At 45.2% G+C, this 19,289-nt stretch overlaps 3 annotated features.

The window, feature by feature from the left end:
• Window positions 283-1,482: an enhancer, noted in NCBI's record as "BRD4-independent group 4 enhancer chr12:30989687-30990886 (GRCh37/hg19 assembly coordinates)". NCBI's record gives its function as "activates an origin of replication core promoter dependent on BRD2, P300/CBP, MED14 and CDK7 cofactors, and independent of BRD4, by STARR-seq in HCT116 cells {active_cell/tissue: HCT116}" and the evidence as "EXISTENCE:reporter gene assay evidence [ECO:0000049][PMID:35650434]".
• Window positions 11,869-12,413: an enhancer, noted in NCBI's record as "H3K4me1 hESC enhancer chr12:31001273-31001817 (GRCh37/hg19 assembly coordinates)". NCBI's record gives its function as "activates a minimal SCP1, AML or CMV promoter by ChIP-STARR-seq in primed H9 embryonic stem cells {active_cell/tissue: H9 hESC(primed)}" and the evidence as "EXISTENCE:reporter gene assay evidence [ECO:0000049][PMID:30033119]".
• Window positions 14,862-15,211: an enhancer, noted in NCBI's record as "active region_6160". NCBI's record gives its function as "activates an Ori minimal core promoter by ATAC-STARR-seq in GM12878 lymphoblastoid cells {active_cell/tissue: GM12878}" and the evidence as "EXISTENCE:reporter gene assay evidence [ECO:0000049][PMID:35858748]".

Consider the following 19,289-nt stretch of genomic DNA (forward strand, 5'->3'; position numbering starts at 1 on the left):
GATGGTGTCCTAAACCTCCTTCTGGGATAGCTTAGGCAGTCACCTTTGTTATTACAACCAACTCATCATCCCAGTCAATTGACTGACCAGCTGTCTGCTAGTCCACCTTTAGACTAAATATCCATGCCATCTGCCTATCTATCTATTCACACACTTTTGTACTTACCTTCCTGACACTGGGTTAATCTGCCATCTATTTTCTTGGTTAACTGCTGCCTATGCGGTGTCTCTCCCAGTTTCTCTGCCTTCCCTTCGTGCACTTGTTTTCTGATCCAGACCTGTGACCCACCAGGGACTTTCCAAAGTTGCTTCCACAACTTCTGCCCACCTTCCTACCGTTCACTCATAGCTGCAGGGGAAACTCTGTGCTCTGGAAACTCCACCCCAACACGCAAGCCAGAGACTTTCCAGACTAAGAACTCGTCCCTTCTTGCCTTGTCCTTGTAGAGTGTGCCTTGCACACTCTAGGGAGCTCTTCCCCTCCATCACTGGGAAGGTGCATGTTGGATGGGGTTGGAGGCTGAGATGAGTTCCTGCCCTCTTTGTAGAAGAGAATCACTTAATGACCGAAGCTGAATCTGAGAAGCCTGGAGACTTGTTTTGGGGATGAGCCATGGAACTGTTAGATATGAGTTCTAAATTTCCTTCCAAAGAATCAATATGTCGGTATGTTCAATTCTTTGCCTTCTACTTTTAAACTTAACTTCCTCACAAAGCAACCTTTTTCGATCACCTGCTCCATCCTGACTCATTCTGATTACATGCTCCACCCTGACTCATTCCGATTACCTGCCACCTGCTCCACCCGAACTCATTCTCCACCCTGCATAACCATTTTTCCTGCCAAACCACTCACCCCGTCACTCTCTTTAAATTAGCCAATCAGAATTAGTTTAGCCTGGGTGGTCTAACCCTAGCCAATAGGGGAAGGACACAGCAGCAGGGGCCACGTGCATCCAGGATAAGAACTCCTTCCCCTCCCTTGTCCAAGTGTGCTCTTACCATTGCTCCATCTGTGAGGGTGCACCCTTCTGTAGGAGTAACTTGCCTTGCTGAGAATTAAGAGGAAAATTTTATATTCGAGTACTATTTCTTTGGTGGCACCGAAACTTTATTTAAACAGAACAGTTAATCACTCTTTTTTCAGAGGCCACATGGAGAACTGGAAGAGATGTATACCTTAGTCTGAATGGCTCTAGGGTCCCACAGCCCAGGAATGATCATCATCCAACTACGAGACAAAGCACATCTGCACACACTGCCCCCGAGGAGCCTCCTGGTGGCAGAGGGGAAACAGCCTCTGCCAGAATATAGATGCCTGTGATGGAAGTGTTAGTCTGAGAAGAGGACAGGGGCAGCCGAGATCAGGGGCGCTGTATGGACTTTTCATTCTCCTAATCCTTCTCCCTGGGCAGCTCCATCTATGGGCCACATGTGGTGGCTCATATCTCTAACCTCAGCACTTCGGGAGCCGAGGCAGGAGGATTGCTTGAACCCAGGAGTTTGAGACCAGCCTGGGTAACGTAGCAAGACCCTGTCTCTACAAAACATTTAAAAATTAGCCAAGCATAGGGTGTGCACCTGCAGTTCCAGTTACTCGGGAGGCTGAGGTGGGAGGATCACTTGAGCCCAGGAGTTCAAGGCTGCAGTGAGCTATGATCACTATGAGTGCACCACTACACTCCAGCCTGGGCAACAGAGCAAAACCCTGTCTCAAAATAAAAAAGATTATTGAGGGGGTCTGAGACCAAAAAGTTTAACTGCTGATACAGACAATAGAGCAAAGACATTACAAAACAAAATGTGTTGAGCAGCCTCACATATTAACCACTATAAAAGTAAGGAAATCTGAGGTGGGAGGACTGCCTGAGGTGAAAAGTTGGAGACCAGCCTGGGCAACACAGCAAGACCCCATCTCTACAAATTTTTTTTTTTAAACCGCCAGGTGTGGTGGCATGTGCTTGTAGCCCTAGCTACTTGGGAGGCTAAGGCAGGAGGATCTCTTGAGCACAGGAAGTCAAGGTTGTCATGAACTATGATTCTGCCACTGCAACTCCAGCCTGGGTGACAGAGTGGAGAGCCTGTCTCAAAAATAAAAATTTTAAAACAGTAAGAAAATGTCATGCAGGTGTGCCCAAGGACATGTAGTTTCTTCTCAAGCAAGGAAAGTATCTAGAATGCAATAACGTAAAGAGGACAGCACAGGGGTAAACAACGCCAACTTAAGCATCAATGACGTGTCAAGGTTTGTGATGACTGAGAGCAATGCAACCATGATTAAAATTCACCAACTATTCCCAAAAAGCTTACTGTGTAGAAGGAAAGAGAGACACAGCTGAAATTTTGATTGATACATGGGTAGGGAGAAGGGAGATGTATGCATGGGATATAGGAGGTCAGTGGGGAGGGGTCTTGTCCCCTTGGAAAGGGGAGAAGGGGGGCTTCCTGAGAAATGTATGTCTGCGCTGAGTCTTGGAGGATGAGTGGGAATTTGGCTACTGAGTGGGAGAGGCGCTTCGGGAGCAGGGGTTGCCCCAGCACCGGGAAGAGCATGAGCCCAGGCCCAGAGGTATGAACCCGCATGGTGTATTTCAGGAAGGTATGAAAGCGGGCAGAGAAAATGAAAGCAGACTAGAATGGCCCCCCAACAAAATAAATGTAATGTCCCTCAATAAAATTAAGATTTTTAAAAAATCAAGACTTAGCAGCTCTGATAACATCAAGTATCTATTCTTCTTTTAGAAGAGAATAGGCTGGTTCATAATTCAGGTGTATGGAGACAAAGTACCTGTTTTGGAAAACAAAAACGAAACTCTGCTCTCACATCTTGATACAAAGTGAAATGTTCCTGTCACTCCTTTGCCTTCCAGGTGCTTTTCTGTCTTTGTGCAGATTCTGTCTCTGGCTCCCAAGGAATGCCCAGAGCGGCCATTGTGGGCCATTGTGGTCCTTGGGGGCCAAAGGAGGAGGAAAGTTCACCCCCTCAGGGCTCATCAACATGAACCCCCAGGACTCCACGTGGTTCAGAAACGGGTTGTGTGGCTAGGTCACGCCACGCATGTGAAATTGTTTTTTCCACCAAATGAGCTGGTCAGGATGGCTCAATGTTTCAGAAGAGCAGATCAATGCCATTCTGAAAAGTGAGTACACTGTTCTAAATCACATGGGGGCAGGGGAAAACCCTGCTAGTTACGTCAAATAAAAGAGGGGAGGGGAGAGAAAGAGAACACTTTATGATAGTAATCCATGCCCACCTATCCCACCAGCAGCCTTCATCAAAGGTTGAAATGACCCAAAAGATGCTCTGGCATTTACTCAGGGGTCCCCGGGGGGAATCTGGCATTTCCAACAAGCACTGGTAGGTGGCAGAAGAAGCCTCTTTGACACACAGCTGGGACTCTGCTTCCAGTAGAAGCCTGACTGAAACCCCTGGAATTAAAGAGGGTTAGACAAGTCTCCAGACAGGGGACCTGGGTCCCAGAACCCCTCAGAGCGCCAAGGCAGGCTGGCGGCAACCTGGGCAGGTGTCTGCCCAGAACAGCAGGCATCTGAGGCAGTGCAACCGGAGTGAGACTCTGCTGGCAGTCAGGCTGCGGGGCTGAGGCAGTGCGGGGAGAGAGCCAGCTCACACTGGTCTGCAGGTGGAGGGGATTCTGCAAACAGGGAAGAAAACTATCAAGAGAAGTAAGAGGCCCCAGGAGCCAATTGATATGAGACTCTCAGAGCAGAGCAGGGACAAACAGTAAAGGAGCGAATGTTTGAGTACAGAGAGAGAAAGCGAGCCTGTCCTTACAAGTGAAGTGGTTCAGAGACAGGCAGCCTAACACAGGATCTTACTTTAGGGACCTGGGCTTAAATCCCTCTTGCCAGTAATCCAGTGGTATAACTTCACTCACGGGGTTCGGGAACATCTATGGGCCAAGGAACAGGCGGGCAGTGATTGTGCCCAAGGAGGTGTGAGGGTGGGTGTGCGGAGGGAGCCCTATGTCCCCAGGAGGGCCTTGGCTTTCCTTTCCTCGTGTTCCAGGATGATGGTAGTGATGCAGGACAGGCAAGCTCCAAAACTGGGGCTTAGCCCTGGAGAGATTTTTGCTTTGCCTAGGAAAGAATTTAAGGGTGAGCCGATTGTGTTAGCAATCTTTTATTGACTGGTACTGCTCCTTGCAGAGTAGGGCTAACTCATAAGCAGTGCACCTAGAGTTGGCAGTGTACGGACTCTCGTCAACTATATTTATACTCTCAAAAGCCCACTTTTAATAATATGCAAGTTAAAGGATGGGTCAATGCAAATTGAGGGGCAGGTTATTGAGACCTTTCTAGGAAAAGGGCAGTAACTTCCAGGTTGTTGCCATGGAAAGGAGTGGGAATTTCCGAGTTGTTGTCATGGCATTTGTAAACTGTCATGGCGCTTGGTGGGAGTGTCTAATGCAAGTGAGCAATGAGGTCAGCTAGCAATCATTTTGTCACCATCTGCTGGTTTTGTTGTTTTTTTTAACTTTAACCTGTTTGGACTGCATCCTGTTTCGGTTAGCAGGGTTGTGACTAGAAAACAAGTATTCTATTTCAGTAGGAGGCCTGACTGTGAAGGCTTATCAACCTAGTCTCTGAATCCAAGTGGAATCATATGGGACCCCCCCCCCATCAATGGGGCCAGGTATTAGGTGGCTCAGAGATGGCTCTAAGTGGTCTGATGACCTCATAGCCGACCCAATAAATACCGTCTTCATGTTTCTTTCACCATTGTCAATAAATAGGATCCTGTTTCAGTAACAGAGGTACACTTCACACACATTATGCAACACATGCATGTGTACATGAGGCCATTGGAGCATATTTCATTTTCAGAAGGCACCAATGTCGGATATTTGGTCAGAACAAATAACTGCATGTGGAGCGGTTCCCTCAACCTTTTCCCTTTCATGTCTTTTAAGCCCATCAGGCAAATTGAGCTGATAAGCATTGCCCTGATTCCCCGGAGTAACACTGAGAGCTGATTATCTATACAGGCTGCCAGAAGTTAGTACCTGAAACACCACAGCTGCAATCATGGTGACAATTGCTACTAAATTAATATGTGACAGTGCCAGGTGCTGTTCTAAGCTCTTGACAAATAGTAACTCATTTAACTAGTAGTAGCTGATACAGCATTTTATAAGAAACTTAAATCAAAGTGATTCACCTGTGTTTGGAGACGAAAAATAAAAAAGGCATAGTATCAACCCATTACTATTCTGTGCTCTGGGCAGGCCCAGTCCTCCCATGGGAGGCAGTGACGAAGCCACAGGCTGCCAAGATCACTCTACCCCGGCACCCTCCCGAGGCACAAGGAGGATGAACATTTCCCTCTCCCTATGCCCATTTTGTTTAAGCAGCAATGACAATGAGGAGGCCACATGAGACAATGTGGATATAACTCCGGATCTATTACTTACCCTCTTGGTCTGATTAAAAGCAGGAGCAGGAGGTCCCCATGCTTAGAGGCTCTCTCCAACCCATGGCTCCAAATAACTTTTTATGCTTCACTCAAAATCTCCCATTCCTACCAGCCATTCCTTTCTGTGGTACAAAGCCCTCCCTTCCCCATGTTCCCCAACCTTCCCCAAAGGGAACCAAGGGAACCACAAGGTGGCTGAGCTCCAGATGACCACGGGCTTTAATTACCCACTGTCTTTTCCTTGCAATGCCATAGCACAGGGGGTGTCTGCTGCCAGGCTATCCAGGGGAGAACATGCCAGGCAGCTCAATCTAGCTTTTCCTCAGCTTGGTCAGAAGCTCTCAATCTTAATATTGGACAAAGACAAACCCACCACTGAACAGCCTGGGTTTTCTTCTTGTTTGACTCTCTTGTCCTACCATGTTTAGAAGCCTGTGCTGTTTCTCCTAAATGTATCATTCTAGCCCCTTAAATAGAAATTGTGTTAACTGGCATATTCTTGGTGCCTTTCCCTTTCCCTCTGATATAGACTTGACCTCTAAATTTTCCCCTTTGACCAATACCTTCACTCAACACTTACTGATCACAAAACATGTCTAGAAGAAATCGAGAATATGACTAGAAAAGAAGGTTTTGCAAAAAGACTAAAAGTGGGTGGCTTTGGAGGACAACTACTTGCCCCTCCTAGGATTTTACCCTAGCAAGGCTAGTTCCAGGGCTACTAAGGAGAGTGGTCCCAAGGATATTACCTAAGCCAAGTGACCTTTGCCTTGGTGCCCATCCCCTTAGAGGTCTACAGGCCAAAACAGTACAAAAAGCAAGATGGCAGAGTCAGATGGAGATAATGCCTGGTTTAGAGGCAGGAGGGCCAGGATGGTATTGCATGCAGGACAGTAATGTTTACTAAGCATCTGGGAATAGGACTTCGCTTGATCCAAAATGACTGGGAAAAAGCTCCATGGCACATCTGATAAGAAAGGAAATTAACCCAAATCCTTATCTGGGTTCCTGACTAAGAAGAACTGGAAACTCTCATCACTGGTCAAGATGAACCTGTCATCACTGGCCATTCCTATACAAGTACAGAAATGCATGAAAACTTTTAGATCACCTTGTACATAATGTATTGAAAATATAATCAGGAGTTGTGATAGGTGAATGATGGGAGGACCTCTAGTTTGGGCCTAAAGAGATGATGTTTAGGCTAAACTCAGGCAATTAAAAGAAATTAACTGTCTTTCAGGGGCATGCATTGCAGAAGAGGAAGCTTATACAAGTCTCTAAGGCAGGAACAAACTTAGGGGACAGACACAAAGACAACCATGGCTGAAGCCTACTGCCAGGAGGGGTGAGGGAGGCAAGGGCAGGCACTGGCAAGGTCCGCAGGACCCAGGCCCTATGCAGCTTCTAGGGAGAGGGGTCTGGATTTCTTTGCAAATCAGATGGACAGCCCCTGGAAGCTTTTAACCAGGAGGGTGATGTGATCAACTTAGATTAAAAAGACAACCTCCAGATGGTCTATGGAGAACACCCGAAAGGGGAAGAGAATACAAATATGAAGGCCAAGCAAGAGGCTGCTGTAGTACTCCAGGCAGGATGTGATGGTAGCTTTCACCAGGCTGGACATAGTGGAGAGGGAGGAAGCTGCATCCATTTGGGAAATGCTTTAGAGGTCATCTCGACAAGACTTTATGGTGGATTGGATGTGAGTTAAACGGGAGAAGGGAATCGAGGGTGGACCTCTAGGGTTTTGGCCTGAGTGACTCTGGGTGGATGGTGGGGCTAATACAGGAGTTATTAAGAAATAATTTTCAGGCAGATAGAGAAGGTAAAAGGAGTTCTCAGTCAGGGTTTTTCTTTTAATGAAAGCAACCTCCAAACTATTTCTTTTCTAACAGAAAGGTACTTAAAGAGGGCCAGGCGGGCAAGCTTTGATATGCAAATGCACGTCATTAGAAACTGGGTCCACCCAATATGGCAATTCCCACCTTCTTCTTCTTGTCACCAGGTATGCCAAGTGTCATGGGCACCTCCAGATAACTCCACATGTTTGGGACATCATGGCAGGCCCGCATGTGCATACTAAAGGGCTAAGTTGGGATGGCCAGGTTTTTTGCCAGCTACGTGAATGACACACCTGTTCAAACCAATCCCTTGGGCCCTATACAAATCAGACACCGCCTCCTCCAGCCTCCCGTATAACCAACCACTTTTCTGCCACACACAGGGTTTCTCTTTGCTTGGATCCCCCTCCCTCTGTCTCTGTATGGGGGAGCTGTTTTCTTCTTCCTTTCCTCTTTCTTGCCTATTAAATTCTCTGCTCCTTAAAACCACTCCAGACTTGTGTCCATGTCGGTCATCATGAGACCAAGGACTCTGGTGTTCCTCCAGTCATCGGAGCCATATCATTTTGGTGCATTGGCCGGGAATTCATTCAACGGATTGGTGAGTACAGAGTGGAGCAAATCTCAAACTCAAATCTGTCCTTTAATCTCAAGGCTCTCTTCCTGCTATTCTGTCGCCAAACTTTCTTTCTCTTTCTATCCGTGGTCTCTTACTCTCTCTGTGTGTGTAGAATGTGCAGGAATTTTTACAGCCTAAGGGAGTAATCCTGTTAAGCAAGATCAGGAAATGCTGTAGCACTGGGGATATAGCTCAGGAAAATGTCCTTGCAATCTTCTAGGAACAGAGATTCCCACCCCTCCACGCCATCCCCCCAATGCCACCTCCCCCACCACACCACCACCTCCCCACCACGTGGTGAGGTTACTTGCTACTAATTCGCTGGTAAGACATGGTATTCCTAAGACAATAGCGCCACCTAGTGGAAATAGAAATTCTGGCCAGGTACGGTGGCTCACACCTGTAATCCCAGCACTTTGGGAGGCCGTGGCGGACGGATCACATGAGGTACGGAGTTCGAGACCAGCCTGACCAACACGGAGAAACCCCATCTCTACTAAAAATACAAAATTAGCCGAGCGTGGTGGCACATGCCTGTAATCCCAGCTACTCAGGAGGCTGAGGCAGGAGAATCGCTTGAATCTGGGAGGCGGAGTTTGCGGTGAGCCGAGATGGCGCCATTGCACACCAGCCTGGGCAACAAGAGCGAAACTCCGTCTCAAAAAAAAAAAAAAAGAAAAAAAGGAAAAGAAAAAAATCCTCTCCGTAAGACACATTGCTGGTTCTCTGCAGTATATTACAGCTTTCCAACTTTTCCTTTTTGCGCCTTTTCTACTGGAAGCTAGGCTCTGATCTACTTCTGTAAAAGGGAAATTTCTGCCTTTTGCAGTTAGGAGTAAGATGTCTTCTGCAGCCAAATTTTGTCACGATATTGACCCATCAGCAGAAAAATGGCCATTTAGTTCCTATGTTCTTTTAAGGAAACTATTCTGTCTCCGATTAAAATGATATTTAATTAGTAAGGGGATTTTAAGTCCAGAAGTTAACCGGAACCATTTGTCTAAGAGTAAATGCTTTAGCACGGGCCATAGTAGCAGGCAATCTAGCACACTGCCTCCGTTAAAGGAGCCTTGCCCTAAGGCGACACAGTCTCTCCCTAGATCCATTTTTCGGGGAGCCAGGGGGATCACACAGATTTAGGAAGTCAAAGGGGAATCACACAAGGTGGATAAGCTGAAGCTGCATGGGTAAAGTGTGGTTAGTCCCATCACTTAGTTCATCCAGTTCCATGGATGGAGGACCATGGATGGATTGGAGGACCACGCCTACAGCCATGGGTCGCATATTTAACATGGTGCCAGGACCCGGGAAGCAGGGAGGGAAAACAGTGGGAGGATGCTCCCTGTCTCCTCCTCCACCCTGGGTCATACGGAAAGGGAGGAGACTAAAAGGACGCTTTTATTCTTGCTTCTTTTTCTAGATGGGAAACAGATTATCTTTGGCTTGCACCCGCTGGAGTGCACTCTGAAACACTGGAACTTCCTTAACCTCAGGACTTTGAAGAAATAAGTGACTCATTTTCTTTTACACAAGGGCATGGTGTTTTTACAAAACCCGTGCAAGCATTTTAAGATCAACCCAGGTCTTTTAGCAATCACATCGGGCAGGCCCAGGGAGAACAGTTCCCCCAAATTAGAAAAGCAACTTCCAGGGGAACCATCTGAGGATCCCCCTTATTTTGGGCCCCTTCAAGTTCCCTTCTCATTACAAGACCTTAAGCAAATAAAGCGAAACTTAGGCCGATTTTCTAACGACACTGATAGGTATATAGAAGCTTTCCAAAATTTAACTCAGGTGTTTCACCTCACATGGAGGGATGTTATGCTGCTCCTAAACCATACCCTCACAGCAGCTGAAAAGCAGGCAATTCTGCAAGCAGCAGAGATTTCGGGGATGAGCAATATATCTCCTATAATATACCAAAAGGGAAGAACGCAGATAGGGAAAGCGAAAAAATCGTGTAGACTCCTTTCCCACTAGGAAGGGAAGCAGTTCTGGTAAACAACCCCGATTGGGACCCCAATAACTCAAGAGATGAATGGAAAAGGAGGCACATTTTAAGATGTATATTAAAGGGCCTATGGAAGACCAGGGCCAAACCTCTCAATTACGCTAAACTGTCTAGGATAAACCAAAAGCCAGATGAGAATCCTCTAGCCTTTACGGAAAGGCTAAGAGAGGCACTAATAAAGTACACCTCTTTATACCCTGATTCAGTCGAGGGACAGCTCATTCTAAAGGACACGTTTATTACACAGGCAGCTCCCGATATTAAAAGGAATACAAAAGCAGGCTATAAGACCAGATAGCACCTTAGAGAACCTCCTGAAGGTAGCCACTTTGGTCTTTTGTAACAGGAACCAGGAGGAGGCCCAAAAGAAAGAGAGAAAGCTCAAGAGAAGGACAGAGGCTCTAGCAGCTGCTTTGCAGGTTTGCAAAATCCAGGATCCCCAAGGTGCATTCGCTAGTTGCTATTGGTGCGGCAGCCCAGGGCATTTTAAAAAGGAACCCCCAGGAAGCAAGACAAAGCCACCTCAACCCTGTCCAGGCTGTGGCAGAGACCACTGAAGATGGAACTGCCCCCAGAGATGGAGGCCACTGGGTTCAGGACCAGTCTCACAGATGGTCCCGCAGGACTGATGGGTCCTGGGGCTCAAACCCTGGCTTCAGTGGCTCAAACTGCCATTATAGCACAGGAGCCCCGGCTAATTCTGGAAATTAAAGGAAGGAAAGTAGACCTCCTTCTAAACATTAGAGCCAGTCTCTCCCTTTTCTCCTCTCTAATCCAGGCCTCTCCTCTTCCCATAGTACGACCGTAAGGGGTGTCTCAGGAAAAACTCTAATCCAATATTTTTCTCAACCATAGTTGTAGTTAGGAGGACCTATTTACACATGCTTCCAAGTCATAATAACTCTACTAGTCAGAAAAGCCTCCAAGTTAACCCTAGGAAATAATTTAACTGTTTACACTTCACATAATGTGTGAGGATTACTGTCCTCTAGGGGGAGCTCTTAGCTAACAAACAGCTGGTAAAGCAAGAAGTACATAAGGCAGGATAAGCAGTCGTCACTCTTAACGTCTCTCCCCAGGCACAAGTGCTGAATTAGCTGAGCTAATAGCTCTTACAAGAGCACTTAAATTAAGCAAGGGGAAGGTAGCTGCCATTTATACTAACTCCAAGTATGCTTTCTTAACTCTCCATACTCATGCTGCGATTCAAAAGGAAAGGCATTTTCTTACCACTAATGAATCTCCTATAAAATATTGCCAGGAAATTGGCAGGTTATTATCCTCAGTTTTTCTTCCACAAAAAATAGCAGTCATGCGTTATAGGGGACATCAAAAGGAAACAGATAAGGTAGCCAAAGGAAATAGAATGGCTAATCAGGCAAAGCTAAGTCAGAGGCAAGGAAGCTTTAAGGCATTAATGCACTTCAAGCCCTTCTAATCTAGGAAGGCTCCAAAAAAGAAATTAAACATCAGTATTCCCCTACAGAAATAAAATAGGATCACCTTTATTTAACCCAGGAAATTTGGTATTAGTACAAACTCTCATCTCTGTCTCCTTCCCTAAGCCAAGCTGGGAAGGGCCCTACACTGTTCTTCTTTCAACCCCCTCGGCAGTAAAAGTTACAGGAATCGACTTCTAAATACATCACACTCAAGTCAAAGCCTGAAGAGCTGAGGGAGCAGCCCCTAACAGCCCAGAGAAATATCCTGAATATCAATGCGGAGAAAGAGATCTTTTTCTTTTTCTTGTTGTTGTTGTTGTTGTTCTTGTTGTTGTTGTTGTTTTTGAGACGGAGGCTCCCTGTCGCCCAGGCTGGAGTGCAGTGGCGCGATCTCCGCTCACTGCAGGCTCCGCCCCACGGTTCACGCCATTCTCCTGCCTCAGCCTCCGGAGTACCTGGGACCACAGGCGCCCATCACCACGCCCGGCTAATTTTTTTTTTTGTATTTTTAGTACAGACGGGGTTTCACCGTGTTAGCCAGGATGGTCTCGATCTCCTGACCTCGTGATCCGCCCGCCTTGGCCTCCCAAAGTGCTGGGATTACAGGCGCGAGCCACCGCGCCGGGCCAGAAAGAGAAGATTTTAAGCTGAAAATCATAAAAGATAAGTAACTGAGTGAGGGCTACTCATCTTACTCAGTCCCACTCCTGCCTCACCAGATACTTTTTGCTATTTCTACCCTTTACTCTCAAAGTTCACCACCAAATATTAAAACTTCTTTTTAAAGCATATTTGCAGGCAGATTTTAATTATTCATAGAATCGCATTTGTAACTTTGTAGCTCCCCAAAGAGAAATGTTATATCTTGGTAAGTAAAGTTTTAAATGGAAATTATTCACTATGCCACTCTTGTAAGAACTGTTATACTCACGCTACTATTTACAATAGAACTACACACTGTAGCACCCAAGATGTGGAATTCTGGTTGTAAAATTCTAATTGCTGTAATATTTTGCCTAATTATCAACCTTATAACAGGATTGATAGTTGCAGGAAAGATTTAGTCAAAATTGTGTCGCTTATAGCAGGAGTAATAGTTGTGGATAAGAAGCAAGGATGAAAGTTTTACTATCATTACGTTTAATAGGACTTTTTCTGAAGGTTGGTAATATAATGTGCTCTAAGCTATAAAGAGAAGATTATAAAGGAAGATTTTATGTAAGAAAAGATTTTCATTGGTAAATACTTGTCCTAAAAGGAAATGACTGGTTGTTTAAAGGATGAATGCTTAGGGCAAGTCAGAAAGTTTAAGTATGTTGTAAGAGGGTCTGTGAAAGTCATGAAATTATTAAAGGAAAGGAATTGTCAAGATTAACATTAAAGTTATTTTAGCCACCCACTAATGTATTTCTCCCAAGCATATTGCAAGTTAGGAAAATGGCCTAAGCTTAAAGTTATTCTCTAATGGCAAGTCAAAGGGGAAATGTATGGTTTTCTCAAGGAAAATGTTTCTTTTATATTAATGTTTCTGGTAATGTACAGCGAGATACTGGTATTGCAATCCATGGTGTAACTAATAGGTATGAAACTCAGGGTCTATAGGACCCCCACTCACGGTGGTAATCTTAATACTCACATTCTAACCCTATATTTTAAATTTTCTTATAAAATTTATCTCTTTTCACCTGGAAGCAATCAAACTCCAAACGGTGCTGCGAGCAAAGCCACACGTGTTTGAAATGCTTGTAAAGAAATAGCACTTGAGCATCAGTTTATTTAGTAAGGCCATTTTTACTTCTTGCAGAAAGGGTACACTCGCCAGCAGTTTTGCCAGGAGAGTACACTGAACAAAGGAGACAGGGTCATTTATAACCTGACGCGTCCACCCTACTGCTGTGTCCAGTTTCCAATAGCTGGAATGGGACCTCACATTCTGTATTTGTCCCGATTGGCTAGCAACTTAGAACTTTTTAAAAGAGGCAAAGGTAGAGGAGAACAAAAGAAGGAGGAAGTAACTTGTGGAATGCTGGGAAAGGTAAAAACACTTTTAAATAAGGAAGAGGAACAGACTATGATCTAATGCTTGCTTGGACCAGTATAAGCATGCCAGGGCAAATATTTAGGCTAAATTGTGGGAGCTAAGAACATAAATTACATTGATTTCTTTATTATGGCTAGCAGATATTTAAGAATGTTAGCACAGGTCTTTGAATAAATTTTGCTTTTAAGAGAAGTTACTATTTATTTCTTATTAGACGGGGCGGAAAGTCTTTGAAGAGGAACCTCTACTTTACTTTTTACACATGGTCACGCCATTCTTCCAAGAACCCTTAGATAAACCTCAGGAGAAGGCACAACTGCTGTTCCCCACACAATACCCCTTTTCAGCAGGAAGTAGCCAGAAAGAATCGCCATCCAACACCCCCTGACAGCAGTTAGGTTTGCTTCTCTTGAGCGGGGGAATGATACAGGAGTTACTAAGAAATAATTTTTAGGCAGATAGAAAGGGTAAAAGGAATTCTCGGTAAGGCTTTTTCTTTTAATAAAAGCAACCCCAGACCTTTTCTTTTCTTTTTGAGACAGTCTCACTCTGTCGCCCAGGCTGGAGTGCAATGGTGCAATCTGGGCTCACTGTAACCTCTGCCTCCCTGGTTCAAGTGATTCTCCTGTCTCAGCCTCCCATGTAGCTAGGATTATAGGTGCCCGCCACCAAGCCTGGCTAATTTTTTTTTTTGTATTTTTAGTAGAGATGGGGTTTCACCATGTTAGCCAGGCTGATCTCAAACTCCTGACCTCAAGTGATCCGCCTACCTCAGCCTCCCAAAGTGCTAGGATTACAGGCATCAGCCACCGCACCTGGCCAAATCATTTCTTTTCTAACAGAAAGGCAAATTAAAGGGCCAGGCTGGCAAGCTTTGATATGCAAACGCAGGCCATTAGAAGCTGAGTCCACCCAATATGGTGATTCGTGCCTTCTTCTTGTCACCAGGTATGCCAAGTGTCATGGCCACCTCCAGGTAACTGCATGTGTTCAGGACATCAGAGCGGCCCACATTTGCACATTAAAAGGATAAGGTGGGAGGGCCGGGTTTTTCACGGGCTTCGTGAATGACACACCTGGTCAAACCAATCCCCTGGGCCCTCTGTGGGCGGCAAGCCACCCAGGTGACGAGGCAAGAGACTAAAAGCACAAGCTATTCCAGTATAATAAAGAAAATACTTAAAATAAGAATAGTTATATTAGGCATAGAATATAGATATGATTATATATGAATATTACTAATCATTAGTTTATAGCATTACTCTTTATTCTAATATTATAATAATCTTTGTTCTACAATTATAACCTAGGAAAAACCAGGACATACAGAGATAGGAGCTGAAGGGACATGGTGAGAAGTGACCAGAAGACTAGTGTGAGCCCTCTGTCACACCCGGACAGGGCCACTAGAGGGCTCCTTGGTCTAGTGGTAACGCTAGTGCCTGGGAAGGCACCCGTTACTTAGCAGATCGGGAAAGGGAGTCTCCCTTTCCCCGGTGGAGTTAGAGAAGACTCTGCTCCACCACCTCTTGTGGAAGGCCTGACATCAGTCAGGCCCGCCCGCAGCCATCCGGAGACCTAAACGTCTCGCTGTGATGCTGTGCTTCAGAGGTCACGCTCCTGTTTCACTTTCATGTTCTGCTCTGTACACCTGGCTCCGCCTTCTAGATAGCAATAGCAGAATTAGTGAAAGTATTAAAGTCTTTGATCTTTCTGAGAAGAGCATAGAAGAAATAATGACGTAAGCTGTCCTCTCTCCAGCTCGGCTACCTAAAAGGGAAAGGCCCCCTGTCCGGTGGACACGTGACTCACATGACCTTATTAATCACTGGAGATGACTCACACTCCTTACCCTGCCCCTTTGCCTTGTACACAATAAATAACAGCGCGACCAGGCATTCGGGGCCACTGCCAGTCTCCACATCTAGGTGGTAGTGGTCCCCCGGGCCCAGCTGTCTTTTCTTCTATCTCTTTGTCTTGTGTCTTTATTTCTACGACCTCTCATCTCCGCACACCAGGAGAAAAACCCACAGACCCAGTAGGGCTGGACCCTACAGCTCTATGCAAATCAGATACTGCCTCCTCCAGCCTCCCATATAACCGACCACTTTTCTGCCCTCCCTCTGTCTCTGTACAGGGGAGCTGTTCTCTTCTTTCTTTCTTCTTTCTTCTTTCTTGCCTATTAAATTATCCGCTCCTTAAACCACTCCGCATGTGTCCATGTCATTTTATCTAAATCAGCATGAGACCAAGGACCTGATGTTCCTCCAGTCATTGGAGCCATATCAGGGCCATTTACTTTGATAGAGAGACAAAGCTGGTTTAGTGATGGATAGGGGGCTTAGTCATTAAGGAACTCATTTTTGGACATGGTGAATTTGGGTATTAATAGCTTATAAAATGTAATGCTATCAGATCCATAACACTTTCCAGGAACTGTGGCTTTTTCACTGGGGTTTTAAGCTCCTCTGGGAAAACGAGGGGCAATGTTGGGCAGGAAGAACTCCCACCCTCCAGGAAGCCTGAGTGGACCATCCCTTCCCCAAAAGCAGGCTTCCTATCAAAGCTGCGTTGTCCTTTTCATCCTTTCTCCCTGCATGCCTCCATCCAAAAATAGAAGTGTGTTACCCTGCGGGTTCACTGAGCCTCCACATAACCACACATGTCAAAATCATGGAACACTGAGGAGGCCTTCTCAAAATATTTTGGAATTATCTACATTCAGTTTTAGTTTTTAAAACTTTAAAAAAATGCAATTGTACTTTAACTCACCTTACATCCTGATAGCATTATAAATTTGAGGATAATTTTAGAAAATGGAGATTATTTGTAATTCCCATGATATACTTTCTGGGAAATATAAGTAGTAAATTTGCATTTAATGATTAATTCCACTACTCCCTTAAAAACATAATATCTATGAGCAGTTCAGCAGTGAGGGACATTTAAAATAGAAAAAAAATCCTCCGTTAATATTTTTATGTTCCACAGTAGTAAAAAGGTGAAAGTTATTTGTTGGTCTCAATAAACGATGCTTGATCTTTTAAAAATCATTACTAAGTGTTTGATCTTAATATATTCCAAAAAGCTTCTCCTATAACTGTGCCTGGTTTCTGAAACAGATTCCAAGGAGACTATCACCACCAAAAGACTGCTCAACAACCACCCAATCTACGTTGTCACCCTTCTTTGATTGGATATTTCAATCAGTAAAAAGTATAGAGCACATTATTCATATATGTGTGTGTATATATGTATGTACATGTATACATACATATACATATACGTACACATACACATACATGTGTATGTATATGTATGCATACATATACATACATATACATATACAGACATATATACACATACATATATTCACACACACAGACATATACATATTTTTTTTGGATGGGGCAGGGGGCCTTTACTTGGGTGATAAGGTGGTCTGTGAAGGGCTTTAAGGGAAGGTCTCATCTGATCACATTGGCTTTCTGGTTGTGTCTTGAAGAATGGGTCAGAGAATCAGGAGGCTGTGGCTGCTGCAGGGGAGGGGTGAGGGGGGCCCAGGGCTAACAGTTGTGGGGTCCAGTAAAGGGTGCAAGTAGAGGCCGGCAGGTCATACATCCCACTGCCAAGACCAGCCGCCTCTCGACCTGACATCACCCCTGGAACCAAAAAGGGGAAAACATGTCCTTCCTGCCTCTGTCTGTGGTAAGTGGGCCCCTCCAGGAGGCAGGGCTGCAGGCAGCATCCCCGTGACCCGGGTAGAAGGGCAGAACTGCGCCTGGGGCTCGCTGCTGTCTGCAAGGTCCAGGAGGGAGGAGGGTGCAGACACAGGCCCTATTTCTGACCCCGCAGGGCCAGGAGCGCTGGAGCCCTAGGAGGGTCTGATCTACCTGTCGCCCACCCATGAGGTGCATGAGTGCAAAGGTGTGGGAAACCGCCAGACTCCTGAGGCCCTGTGGGGTCGCAAGGCACCAGGACCCCTGGATATGGCTTAACTGGGTTGCAGGGAGAGGGCGGGCTTGGGAAGGGCAGCCTTTAGCCAAGGGATTCTCAGGGAACCGACATGCTTGTCTGAGCTCCGGGCCGGGTCCACCTCCGCTGGCTGGACAGCTGCCTCCACACCCAGACAGACCCCGTGGGGCACAGCGTCCCGCAGGGCTCCACAGTACCCCGCTTTCCAGCGCCCCTGGAACCCCTGCCCAGCCCACGAGGTACAGATTCTGTCATTCTCACTGAGTCCTCTGGACCCTGCTAGACTAGCCCAAGGTCACACAGCCAGACAGCGGAGGAGGTATTTCTTTCTATATAATACATGTATGTACTTACTAATATATTCACTATGAAACAAATGCTTTTTAAAATATGCTATAAAAACTAAAAAGTTCTTAACATATTCACCTTTAGTTATTAATTACATAAAAATGTCTGCTCTCATTAAAATATTATCCATAATCATATTTGTAGTGAGAGCAATGTGGTAGAATTTGCACCTTTTTAAAAAACCTTGGAATTATTCTTTGAGATACATCAATTCAAATATCTCAAATACCAGACTTTTCATACATCAATTCAAAAGTTCAATTTCTTTTTTTTTTTCGAAAGTTTCATTTATATTCAGGCTTGCTTTTAATGGTTGTCAGAGCTGAAAAAGATAACTGGCAAAGGCACAATGTGCACACTGAACAAAGTGTATTGTTAGTAAGAGGAAGAAATCCATATCTTAAGAGAATTGGGGGCCAGGCTCACTCCTGTAATCCCAGCACTTTGGGAGGCCGAGGCTGGTGGATCACCTGAGGTCAGGAGTTCGAGACCAGCCTGGCCAACATGGCAAAACCCCATCTCTACTAAAAATACAAAAAAAAAAAAAAAAAAAATTAGCCAGGCATGGTGGAAGGTGCCTGTAATCCCAGCTACTCAGTAGGCTGAGGCAGGGGAATCTCTTGAAACTGGGAGGCAGAGGTTGCAGTGAGCTGAGATCACACCACTGTACTCCAGCTGGGACTACAGAGTGAGACTCAGTCTCAAAAAAAATTAATTTAATTAAAAAATTAAAAATAAAAAGAGAATTTGGGGGTTTTAAGACAACTTCTTGTTGGATCCAATTAGGTCTTCATTGTTTTTAGCTAATAGTGACACTGATTCAGAGATTATTCCAGGCACAGGAGGGTTGATTCTGACATTCGCTTGCTGTTTTCTTGTCTTTGTATAATTACTGTTCTCTTCAACCTACCCATTTCTTTGCAGAAATCTTTATTTTAATTTCTGGGATACATGTGCAGGATGTGCAGGTTTGTTACTTAGGTAAATGTGTGCCATGGTGGTTCTTTGCAGGAATCTTTAAGTCACTCATCCATTTCATGAGGGTTAGTTTAGTTCAAACCAGATAATACATTTTAATGGAGCATGAGCAAACTGCAAAACATTGCAATATGAAAGCTAACAAAGTAGTCAGGAGGCCATTGTCCACACTTTTGCATAATGAACCCCCTCCTTCCCTCAGTAACATCTATGTGCCATGACTGCCTGATGTAGGGAACCAGTCACTATCCAGATAGATTTTTTTAAAGATAGCATAATTATCCATATAAAGTCTAATATCTTCATTTTGCACCTTGGTGGCCTGTGTGGGTACCCCCATATAAAGACCAATGTATTTGTTTTCCAGATGCAGAAAGATGAGGCACAGAGAATTGGCCACCTGCTCCAGGTCCCATAATTAAACATTACTGTCAGGATTAGAGTCCTGGGGTCCAAACACCCAGTGCTCTCTCCACACTACCATGGTGCCCAATTCATATTCCTGCCATGACTACCCTTTCCATTTCTGGCCCTGTTTGAAGCCCCTAATTCCCACTGAAAACAATAAATGCTCTAAAATTAAGGCAACAATTTCAC

The sequence above is a fragment of the Homo sapiens genome, chromosome 12 (genome assembly GCF_000001405.40).
Source record: "Homo sapiens chromosome 12, GRCh38.p14 Primary Assembly".
Lineage (NCBI taxonomy): Eukaryota > Metazoa > Chordata > Mammalia > Primates > Hominidae > Homo > Homo sapiens.